This window comes from Homo sapiens, chromosome 7 (assembly GCF_000001405.40).
Source record: "Homo sapiens chromosome 7, GRCh38.p14 Primary Assembly".
NCBI classification, from domain to species: Eukaryota; Metazoa; Chordata; class Mammalia; order Primates; family Hominidae; genus Homo; species Homo sapiens.
In genome coordinates, this window is record NC_000007.14 from 29873326 (window position 1) to 29885477 (window position 12152).

The 12152-nt window shown below is 45.5% G+C and overlaps 1 protein-coding gene across 3 annotated transcripts in view, besides 1 other annotated feature; it reads left to right on the top strand.

Annotated features, from left to right (window-relative positions):
* WIPF3 (WAS/WASL interacting protein family member 3) overlaps positions 1 to 12152 on the top strand; it is a 110554-nt gene that overhangs the window by 66818 nt on the left and 31584 nt on the right. For all 3 annotated transcript variants that reach the window (NM_001080529.3, NM_001391973.1, XM_017012522.2), the window contains 3 exons: positions 2505 to 2637; positions 5684 to 5815; positions 10525 to 11268. In NM_001080529.3, coding sequence (NP_001073998.2) covers positions 2505 to 2637; positions 5684 to 5815; positions 10525 to 11268 — 1009 coding nt within the window. The remainder of the gene's footprint in view (positions 1 to 2504; positions 2638 to 5683; positions 5816 to 10524; positions 11269 to 12152) is intronic.
* Positions 9907 to 10802: an enhancer, noted in NCBI's record as "H3K4me1 hESC enhancer chr7:29922848-29923743 (GRCh37/hg19 assembly coordinates)". NCBI's record gives its function as "activates a minimal SCP1, AML or CMV promoter by ChIP-STARR-seq in naive H9 embryonic stem cells {active_cell/tissue: H9 hESC(naive)}" and the evidence as "EXISTENCE:reporter gene assay evidence [ECO:0000049][PMID:30033119]".

Consider the following 12152-nt stretch of genomic DNA (forward strand, 5'->3'; position numbering starts at 1 on the left):
ATTCAGTGGGTTATCTTCTTATACTAGAAGGAAAATTACAAAGCACGCTTTTTTCCCCAAATTCCCTGACCATAATGCATACCTGAAGTTGTAATGCCAAATTCACACAAAAATTTTCATACCCTCTTAGCTACAGTTGTGATATTTCTTTGGTCCCTTATTTCTGTCATTCATTATTTATAAATAAAATGAGAGGAAACTTTAAAAATCTTAAAATTTTGCAGCTTAAAATGAACTCATGATATTAATGGTTTATATGGGGTTTTTAAAAGCATATTGTATGGGAAATGCCCTGCCTTTCTAAAATAAATAAATAAATACATACATAATATCTCCAGTGAATCAGGATTGAGGCTCCTTGCTCTCCACTTTCTTGTTGACCATCATTCATAAGTCCCTCTCAGGGGTTCAAAAGCTTGTTTCCAGGCAGCAAGAATCAGACTTTGAAGCCTATGCCCTTCAAAACCTGCATAAGGTTCATAACCCACACAGTGGAGTCTGCCAGTGAAAATGTGGACTCAACACATTTTAGCCAAAACCGCAACTGCCTCTGCTTCTAGTCTGTGACACCAGAGAGCCCATGAGTTTCTAGTCAGCCAACCTGGTTTGTCCTTTTTTAAACAGAAAATGGCAATAGCAAGGATTGATAAATACTATTTATACTCCAGGGATCCTCTAAGGTCTCATGTCTTCCTTGAAGCCTGCTCAGCCTGAAAAACATGGTCATTTCTGGCCTCTTGGTGGCCTTCCTCTCTGGGGAACCAGCATGGCTGCCCAGTCCTGTGCTGTGCATTGCACAGTGGCTTAACTCGCTATAGTGTATGCCTCTCTGCTTGGTGCATGCGTATGCCCTTAAGAGCAAAGACAGCTCTGATACCCTGGGTCTAGTTCATTCATTCACTCACTCACTCAAGTCATTTATTCATTCGTTCATACAGTAGTTATTGAGCCAGATCCAATTCTACTCTTCGGGGATATTTTTGTGAACAAAACAGACAGAATATTTTTTCCTGATGTGGAGTCCTTGGGGTTAATGAACATTCAACTCATAATCACAAATGGAAATTTTCCACAATGATAATATAAACTTATACCCTATGATAAATGTGACAGAGGAAAAAGGAATATGGTACCCTCAGAGAAAACAGTGAATGGCCTTATTTAGATTTGGGGTCAGAAAAGGCCTCTGAAGTGGTGATATTTAAGCTGAAACCCAAAGATACATGGTATCCCCGTACAGTAGGGCTAACAAGTATTTCTTGCTTTGAGAAATGATCAGCCATTTCTAAGGTCACGTGGCTGGTATGAACCTTATAACTGTGGAGAATCCTCCTGGCTGTGGCTTCCAGGGCAACCCCTTCCCTCCTTTATTTGCCACCAATCTCCTAATGTTCTTTCTGGTGTTCCCTGGCTCTACTAACCCGTGGAAACCTCCACCATGTCAGCTGAAGCTACAGCTGAAGTGAAGCAGGTGTATCTCAGGGCTACTTGCAGAAATAGGACAAAACTTTTTCCTGCAAATATATTAATGAAGCATCTTGCAGTCCATCAGACACTTATCCTAATGAAAGAGCATGTATCCTTGGTAGTCATCGTTGCAAAGTGAAAAGCACATGGCCTTTGGGATTCAGCTGATCTGGGTTTGAACCCCAGCCCTGTAGCCTCAAACAGACGATTTCTTAGTCTCAGTTTCCTCATCTGTAAGATGAGGGCAAACTCACTTTAAACGCACAAGGTCTTGTGAGGACTAATGTAACACACCCAGGCACAGAAGACAGTCACCAGACATTCATTGTAATCTTCTGCATTCCCTTTCTCCACAACTTTCTGACCTCTATGGGTCCCAGTTTCCCCTGAGCTCCCCAGTTCTCCCCTATGCTCCATGATCACATGAAGACCACCATCCTCCATTCAAAGCCAGCTCCTAGAGCATGAATCTGCTTCCCTTAAGAGACACAATGGGCCCAGCATGAGCCACCCAGGACCCAATAGCAAGGAGGATGTGAGTACCTAAGGACTGAGCAAGACTTCGGTCTTGCTCAGCAGAACAGTCCAGGGGATGACAGGGCACAGGAGCAACTCCCATCGTCAAGTGGGGAATCAGTCAAGGATTTGGTCCAGGAGGGGACCTGGGGCACCAAGCAGGATGATCATTCAAAACCTGAGAGCAGGGGCCAGGTACTCAAGGACAGAAGCCCTGGGGTGGGGAGTGTAAGAGAGAGGAAAGAGGGGCTATGATTTAGGGCTCCCTAAGACCTCCAGGAGCTTGTGCACAAGATAGGCACTTGGGACTTGGTCATCTAAAATAAAGAGTCCCTTCTAGGTCACCAGGAAAAGAGGTGTGAGCAGGACCCAAAAGTGTCTCTCCCATAGGTAATCTGAGATCAGCCTTGGGAGTGGGACGGGGAAGACAGAGAACTGCAAGAGGAGAAACTGACAGCAGACAGGACATTTTGCTTATCTGAAAATGCTACTATAGTCAAATCCCTTTTACTCCCTTACAGGTAAGCACAGACACCTCCAGCTTGCGAAGGGCAGATCCGAAAGGCCGGAGTGCGCTGTTGGCTGATATCCAGCAAGGAACTCGCCTGCGCAAAGTCACGCAGATCAACGACCGCAGTGCCCCGCAGATCGAGAGTAAGTGAGCAGCCGGGCCAGGCCTCCTGTGAGCCAAAGACAGGACAGGCATGTGAGGCACAGCCAGACACCCCTGGCTGGGGCCACAGCTGCTTCCCAGGATGCATATGGAGCCATCTCAGACCTGCTCATTGGACAGGCCAAGTGGGCGAGAGAACCAGAGCTTTCCCTCCAAATCTGCAAATGGTTTAGAGCATAACTTCCATCCTTTTCATATGCTAAAAAGAACAACTCTGCAATGGGACACCTATTTAAAAATTTTGATAAAATACACATAATATAAAATTCATCATTTTAACCATTTTAAAGTGTTCAATCAGTGCCAATTATTATATTCACAATGTTGTTGCAACAATCACCTCTATCTAGTTCCAGAACATTTACATCACCCCTAAAGGAAATCTCATACCCATTAGTAAGTCATTCCCCATTAGTCCCTGGCCCTTGCCAACCCAATCTACTTTCTGTCTCTCTGGATTTGCCTATTCTGTTATTTCAAAGAAATGGAATCATGCAATATATGGCCTTTTGTGGCTGGCTTCCTTCACTTAGCATAATGTTTTCAAGCTTCATAGATGTTGGAGCATGTATCAGTACTTCACTCCTTTTATCATTGAATATTTAATTGTATGGACACACCACGTTTTGTGTATTCTTTGTAGGGTAACATTTAAAGATCACTCACCTTGTGTCAACATGGTCCTTAAACTCAGTGATAGAAAGTGAAGGGCTCACTTTGTAAAAAATGCAAAATTTTTGTTTCACTTTTCACAAGGAGAAAGATTTATTAAGAATTCTGTTTCAGAGGATGATATGACTGAAGCTTGCTGTCTTCTAGAATGTGACAGAGTAAATTGAGTCCTGTGCTCAGGTCAGACGACCCACATTGAGTTCTGGTTCTGCAACCAGACAAATCGGGGAGCCTCTTTGAGGATGTTTGGTCATCTGTGAAATGGGGAGACAATACCTGGCTCCTTTTTTTTTTCTTGGTCGATTGTTGAAAGTTGAAATAATATATGCAGAACTCTTTAGTACAGATCGAGCATCCCTAATCCAAAAATCCCAAATCTGAAACTTTTTGAATGTCGACATGATGCCTCATGTGAATGATGAAGATGACGTTAACCCTGAAGAAAATGTGCCTCCAGGTGACATGGTGGAAATGTATGATGTGTTTACTGAAGGACAAGAGTAGCATACATTCATAACAGAACAAGAAATGATGTCAGTTTACAAAATCAGAGAGAGGCTTCTGAGACAAAAACCATTGTTGATGAAGCAGATGACTCTGGAGGAAACATTTTTAAAAGCCAGCTAGCAGAATGCTGCCTCAACTCTAGAGGACCTACTTCCTGGTCTCTCAGTGGTTTCTGATGTTTCTTCTCACCTAAAACAATGAGATCCAGTGTCCAGTAACCTTTAATCAAAACACAGCATCGCAGGAGACTGAAAGCCTGCCTTTGTTTGTTGCTGCCGTTGTCTAACAGCTGATCCGGGTATTCTGGTGATACTACTGTGTTGCTTAGTTACCTTGAACACATTATTTTTTTGCTGTGTTAATGGTATGCCATATTTTTAACTGCTAAGTACTTATGTGTGAAGAAGTGTAGGAAAATGATTGCTTATTGGTAGCATAGAAATTCAGTGTCAGGAATGATGGTAATGGACAAACCACAGATTGTCCACATGGGAGGCTGAGACGGTGACACCTTTGCTTTCTGATGGCTCCATGAACGCAAGCTTTGTTTTATGCACAAAATTATTTTAAAATATTGCATGAAATTAATATTTTATTAACTTCAGGCTGTGTGTAAAGGTACATATGAAACAAATACATTTCATGTTTAGACTTGGGTCCCATTCCCCAAGATATCGCATTATGTATATGTAAATATTTCAAAATTTTAAAAAAATCTGAAATACTTTGGTCCCAAGCATTTTGGATAAGGGATACTCACCCTGTAATGTAAGGTATTATTATGTCTTCCTATGTTTTGCTATGATGTGCGTGATGGTAATTCTTAAAGATAGTCCTAAAAATAGAATTATATCTCCTATCTGTAATTATAAATGTCAACACACAAGGATAGACAAATTTTTAAAGAAATATTTTCAACATTGAGAAATATTTTCAACATTGAGTACATTAAAAATTAGTTTCTGGTTAAACCCATGATCGAATTGGTTAAGCCTAATTAACAGGTAAATCAATTTCATTGAAACACTCACTTCCTAATCATTCTCATGAGTAAGTAATGTACAATATTAATACTCAGAATAATCTGGCCACTTTCATCCACCAGTGGGCACTGTGCCCTAATTTCTCTGTGCATATTAGCTTCAAGTTGTTAAATATTTTCTGCCAGGAATTCTTGTCTAAGCTGAGTATCTTCTCGTTTTCTGTAGTTGGTAATCACACATGTCTGGAAGGCTGGAGTTAGTGACACCTTTCCTCAGGGGCTCATGATCTTTCCGTTCCATAGATGAAAAGGTGCAGGGAGGTGCGAGGGGCTGGGGGCTTGAGGGCTGGAGAGACAGGAAGGAAACTGCCAGGGCACAGTCATGGCAGGCTTTACCTCCTGCCTGCTGTTCTGGTCAGCGCTCTGTGGACAAGAAGTTAAAATGACTGACTGAATTAAATCTGTGGGTTTTCTTTGTCTAGTCCTCCATAGCCAAGTTGAAAATAAGAGCAGCTCTACACCTACCACATTTGGGTTTTCTAATTCGAAGGTGCTGCCAGTTGCTCTGTTAGCATCTACAAAATGGCAGTGTTCAGGTCCCTTTGTTTTGGTCACTTTTCAGGGGAGCTGGGCACAGATGGTTAGTTCTTTGGTAGGACTGGAGAGGGCAGGGCATGTGAGTCTACAGGGTATCAAGGCAGAGGGTGCTTGGGGAGGATGCTGAGTGAAAGGATGACATTGGAGGTGGGAGAATGGGAAGGCTGACAAGGGCAGTGGTAGACCAGTGTTAGACCATGGTCTGAAATGAGACCTGGCTGCTCAGCTCTGCTCTCAAGTCCTTGCCTATTTGTGTCTTCTCTCTAAAGGTTCTAAAGGAACCAACAAAGAAGGAGGAGGTTCTGCAAACACACGAGGCGCGAGCACACCTCCCACCCTGGGAGATCTGTTTGCTGGTGGCTTTCCTGTATTGCGACCAGCAGGCCAGCGGGATGTAGCAGGTAAGGAAGAATTCATTCTGGCTCCCTTGTGGTCTGTATCTCCTTAACTTGTGGAACCATCTGGGCAATCCACACATGCCAGTAAGCAACATGGTTTTACTGAACGGGCATGATAGAGTAGAAGATCATGTTCTTGGGACCTTAAGCACTAGAAACTTCCAAAGTACAAAATGGTTCTTGAGAAATCTTTTAATTCATCATCCTGTTTAAATTATTCCATTGTAATAGCTTAAAAATGACTTGTAATAGTGTGTAATACTTAGTGATGGCGTGATGGTAGCCCAGACTGCAAAGTGTATATAAACAGAAGGTCCAAATTGTAATAGAACTTCATAGTGACATCACTGTGGATGCATTAGCAATGCATGAGTTGTAATGATTCGGTCATCATATCAGTTAGGTACTGCTGTGTAACGAAACACCCTAAAACTTAAAAGCTTTAAACAATCATTTTTTAGCCTACAATTCTGTGGGTTAGCAGCTTAGAGTAGTCTTGGCTGGGCTCCCTCTTGCATCTATAAAGAACTGCAGGTTGTGTAGGTAGCTTTGCTAATCTTATATTTCTCATATTTTTCCAACCTCTGGAGCCTCAGCTATAACCACTGGCCTGACTCACCTCTATCACGTGGTCTCTCAGTATCCAGCAGGCTGTCTGGGCCTTGTTTTCATGCCAGCAGCAGGGTTCCAAGAGAGAAGACAGAAGTATAAATAAAGTCTCTTGAGGCTTAGTCTTGGAAGTATTACTAGGATGTAACTTGGAAGTCTAAGAAGTATCACTTCCTACCACATTCTCTTAGCCAAAACAAGTCACAAGGATGGGGAAATAGACTTCGCCTCTTGATGAGAGGAACTGTAAAATCATATTTCAAAGATTATGGAATCAAGCATAAGTGGGTAATGAAGGCCATGTCTGTAATCAGTCTACCTCAGTGATTTTTGTTTCAGTGGGCATCAGATGTTTTGAAAATATTGCATTAAAATTGAACAAATACAAATTTACTCTGAGAAAAAAAACCTGTTTTTCCTATTCTTGTTCTCTTTAACCAGCAAGCTGAATAAACTCCAGGAATACCATTAATACAGGAGGAAATACAAAGGCCCAAACCTTCCTCGTACCAGATCTTCCATCATGCGACTTTTCTAACTTTTTCAGTGGCTTCTGTGACTGTTTAATGTTATGGGATGATTATGCTGCCTCACTCACCAATAAAAGTCCAGCAAAGAAAAAGACTCTAGGATATTTTGAGATCCAACTTGAACCTTCTCAGGGGCCATGTTCATTTCCTCATTTTTGCTGAGGGGTTAGCAGGAAAGGTAGAGTACAAGGTCTTCCTCAATAAAGACAGTGGATATTCTTCAGTGTCCTCTTCTTTTTCAAAATTCCCGAGTGCTATCAAACAAATATCCTTTGGAATAGAAGGCTTCCACCAGTTTCTCTTCATAGAAGATGGGAGAAATGGGCCCCAGTCAGGTTTTCATAGGAAGCAGCCAAAAATAGCCAGCAGGAGTCCTACTGGTCTGCTTGTCACCAGTGGGACATAAGTGTCAGATGTTTGAGCCGCTGTAATGGGGAAGACAAGAATTTATCTCTTTAGAGATGGAGGTCCATAAGGAAGTGACTAATGATGCCTGTTCCAGGATGGAAACTCAAGGAGAAAGCCACCAGATAAACACATGGACTGGGTACCATGTCAGGGCAAGGCAGGCCGTGGCTCCCTGCTCCCAGCACTTTCCCAACAGCCCCCTTCTCATCAGAGGAAGGGACTTGAGCCTTTGCTCCCTCTCTGATCTTCTGGCCTACCTTTCTTGGTGGTTCATGCCATCCCCTCCACTCACACTATCCTCCTTGCTGCTCTCACACACCAGCATGTTGCTGCCACTGGGCGCTTGCACCGACTCTCCCTTGGCCTGAAAGGCTCATCCGCAGGTGTCCACGTGGCTCAGTCTCTCCCTTCCTGCAGGTCTCTGCTCAGGTGGCAGCTGATCAAAGTGTCCGTGAGGTCTTCACTTATTATCCCATATAAAGGTTTAGTCCTATCCTTTCATTCCATATCTCCTTTTCCTCAATTTACTTTTCTTGTATTACTCGGCACCACCTGACATATCATGTATTCACTGGTTTATCTGTTTATTGTCTGTCTGATCCATCTGAAGCTAAGCTCCGTGAAGGCAGGGACTATGTTTTGTTCATTGCCATAGAAATGCCTGGCGCATGGCAGGTGCTCAGTAAATACTTGCTGAATTGCATGTGTGAATGGTAGTGTGGTGGCTGACATTCATTAGGGACCATAGCACAGTGTCATGGGCTCATGGTACTTTTAGGGACCCATGAAAATATTTAAATTTCTTTTAAAATCAGAAGAAAACATATGACCTTTTAGGATCAAAGAATGTATTTGTCTTTGTACCAATGCAGTCATGAATATAAATATTTTTTTAATAGAGAAGAGGCCCACAAAGGCAAAAGTGCCTAGGGACCCTGGAGTCATAATGCAACCTTGGCCTAGAGCTCTAAGGGAGTGAGAATTACAATAAGATATGATGAGTAAACATTATTTCTGGGTTGAATAGAATATGTAATGAGACTTCCAAGGTCTTCTGGAGAACATTCAGATTTGAGGAAGAAGAAATATTTCATCTTTTGCTAAACCTGCATGTTCTAAAAGCTGAATCCTTTCCTATGGGCACAGCATCCCTGATGCCCTCAATCTGGCCTTTCCCGCCACCTCCTGGCCTCCTTTGTGTTTTCTCTGGATTTCTAGGGCTCGGGTTTCCATTGTGAAGGACAGCCTCCTCCCTTACTTCCTTCAACTCCCTCGGAGCTCTCTGTCGGCCCAGGCCTGCCTCCTCCACTTGCCTGCACTTACACCATCAGCCCCTTTCTCCTCTGCAGTCTCACCTTCCTCCCTGAGGGGCATGCCCGCCCTCGCTTCTGCTGCGCATGTTAGGATAAAAATGAGTTTGCCCACATTTCTCATTTGGTTGGTGGCTTCATCAACACAGGATCCCCTACTTTTAACTGACTCACTTTAAGGGTTTTTGAATCTCTGAGACATGGTGTCCTCAGTTACTTAAAAGGTTTGGATAGGCTATTTAAGGGTAGGCTTTGCTCTGTTTTGTAAACTTTCATTATCCCTTTCAATTTCATTCAGCCACTGGGCATGTAGGTAGGCTCTGCCTTGTTTAGGCAGCTGCCTAGGTTCTCCTCGTCATCTTTTTGTATTATATGGAAAAAGGTTTGAGAACTTCTAGGCAGGAATCCCTGAGCTGACACCTGCTAATACCATCCTCACCCTACCTTAAGAACAGCCATTCCATAATGTGGTTGGAATATTATGGTCTAGGTGACTGTCACATTATAGCCAGAGGGGCTCATATTTGGAAAGCCAGATACCAAGGTCTTGCCTACTTAGCTTCACCTGAGTCACCTCTGCTAGGCCGTGCTTTGATTGGCCTGGCTTTTGACATCCAGTACTTTAAGTGTATGGCTTAGCCCCTGATTGGGGTAAACACACAGGAGACTCAAGTACTGCAAATCTCAGAACCCCCAACAGATGCTGGGATTTCTAATCTGAAATGAAAGCTGCAGGTCCCATGCTGCAGCACCCAGGAAGTAGTGGGTGTGAGAAAACATCATTTTTCAAGTGTTGTCCACATGTTGTCATGGTGATTATAAAATATAGGGGAAAACACCCCCCAGAATTCTTATAAAAAGAGCACTAAATCTGGAAGAAATATTTTAATCTGCCTCCTGAGTAGACAGTGATACTCCAAGGACATCTCTAAGCAGTAATTGCAGAACTTCGAGGCAGTAAACAACGAGAGGAACTTTTTCTTATTAGAGAGAGGCAGAGCGAAAAAAGGGTGAGAACTGGCAAAAAGGTGCAAGGCTGTGCGGAGTATAGAGGCCCCTCCTGGGGACGTGCTCCACCTGAGTCTTCCATGAAAACCAAACGCAAATGCTTATCAAGAGCCAATGGTTGTTGTTGAATTTAAAAGAGGAATTGAATTTCAAGCTGGGGCAGATGCAATGAAGGATCTATAGGATGAGAAAGCCAAAACCCTTGGGAATTAGCATAAGTCTTTGGGAAAGGAGGTTTTGAACTTCCAGAGGTCATAGAACTGTGAGGTTCAAGGTCATTGGACCTGGGTTGTCAAGGGCAAATGTCTCCCTCCAGTCTTACCTTATGTATTCAGGGAATCATGAATTTTCTGCTCTCAACACAGAAACAAAGAAAGTCAAATTTCACAAAATGCTGGGAGTGAAGAAAACCTCCCTAGCCAGGAGTGCTGGTTGGTACACCTGAGGGTCCAAATTAGAGCATAAGGGCTGATGGACCTAGCGGGTGTCAGTGAATGAGTTCGTGAGTGTGGCCTTGATTAGGAAGGGCAAAAGACACCCGGGCAGTCCTGGCCCTGGCTGGGATACTAGAGGCCCAAGGCAGATGACAGCACAGGTGGCATGGATAGGAGGGCTGGAGGCCTGACCTGGGCTTGTCATTAATGCTGGCAAGGACTTTGGATCTGGTCCAGTTGGTCCTTCTGGGTGACAGCTGTGGCACCTGAGGCCTCTCAGTGGACACGTGCAGAAAAAGCGGTCTACAGTGCAGCTCACTGCGGGCAGGCTTGAGTGTCCTGAGTGCCGCCTACCTGCGGGGGCTTTCTCCTTCTTTATTGCCGAGCTAACCCAGAATCTCTTTCACTTCCAGGTGGCAAGACAGGGCAGGGCCCTGGCTCCCGCGCGCCCTCTCCCAGGCTTCCCAACAAAACCATCAGCGGCCCGCTTATCCCGCCTGCCTCTCCCAGGCTAGGCAATACCTCCGAGGCGCATGGCGCTGCCAGGACAGCCCCGCCTCGCCCCAACGTGCCTGCCCCGCCCCCTCCCACCCCACCCCCTCCGCCTCCACCCTTACCCCCGCCCCTTCCCTCTTCCTCCCCCATCAAAACTCCGCTTGTGTCCCCACCCGGCCCACTGACCAAAGGGAACCTCCCGGTGGTTGCACCCCCCGTCCCCTGTGCGCCACCACCTCCACCTCCGCCACCTCCCCCAACGCCACCCCCGCTGCCCCCGGCCTCGGTTCTTAGTGACAAGGCAGTGAAGCCTCAGCTGGCTCCCTTGCACCTCCCGCCCATCCCGCCCCCGCTCCCTCTGCTCCCACCTTGTGGGTATCCGGGGCTCAAAGCGGAGCCCGCCAGCCCTGCGCAAGATGCGCAGGAGCCTCCCGCCCCGCCGCCCCCGCTCCCCCCTTATGCTTCTTGCTCCCCGAGGGCTTCTTTGCCCGCGCCCCCTTTGCCAGGAGTTAATAGCAGCAGTGAAACTCCACCCCCGCTACCCCCTAAATCCCCCAGCTTCCAGGCCCCACCGCAGAAGGCCGGTGCGCAGGCCTTGCCCGCCCCGCCTGCCCCTCCGGGCTCCCAGCCGTTCCTGCAGAAGAAGAGGCATGGCCGACCAGGTAAGGAGCGCTGCCTGGCCCAGTGCCCCTGGTGGAGTGCGATAAAATCTCGTCGTTGCACAGGACTTTATTGTTGGAGGTATTCGTTTCAGAGATGGACACCAGGGGTGAGGGAGGCAGAGAGACTTGCCCAAAATCATGCTGCATGTAAGCAAGGGATCCCGGCCTTGATCCCCTGCCCTTACTAGCTCTGTGGCCCTGGGCGACCACTTGGCCTCTCTGTTCTCCCTTCTATTCATCTGTAAAATGGGGATAGATGGCAATAGTTGTTACCTCCTGGGTTTGTTGTTAAGGATTAAGTGAGTTCTTAGGTTTGAGGTGCTTGGAACAGGGCAACAGTGAGCTTGAGAGGGATTATTTATTCTTACTACCAACCTTCCAACTCCCAATCTCCTCCCTGAGGTGGAGGGGGCGTGAGTGTGGCTTGTTTCCAGAACCAGGCCTCCTTTTATATTTGCCCGCGTTTTCCTATCTGGATCCCAGCCAGAATCTTCGCCGGCCCTCAGTAAACTGGATTCCCACTCTGCCTTAGTTTTCGCAGGTTCTCCGGCTGACTCAAGAAAACTGAGGGCCTGTATTTTGAGCCAAATATTAAAAATAATTCCTTCACATATGCAGCACAGGTTATTTGAATTGAGCGTTCATGCCCCATGGCTGATTTCCTTGATCCCGCTAGTAGGAGGCTTCATTCAGTTTTAGTGCCCCTGTGAATGGAAAGTACCTCCACACGTCCACAGATACACCCACATCCACACAGGCAGACACACTCAAACATATGCACACTCATAACACACACATCCACATGCACACCCCCAACACACATATTCCTTTGTCTTTTAGAAAATCTTTTGATGCAGAAAGCTTCTTAAAAGTATTTTCTTGAC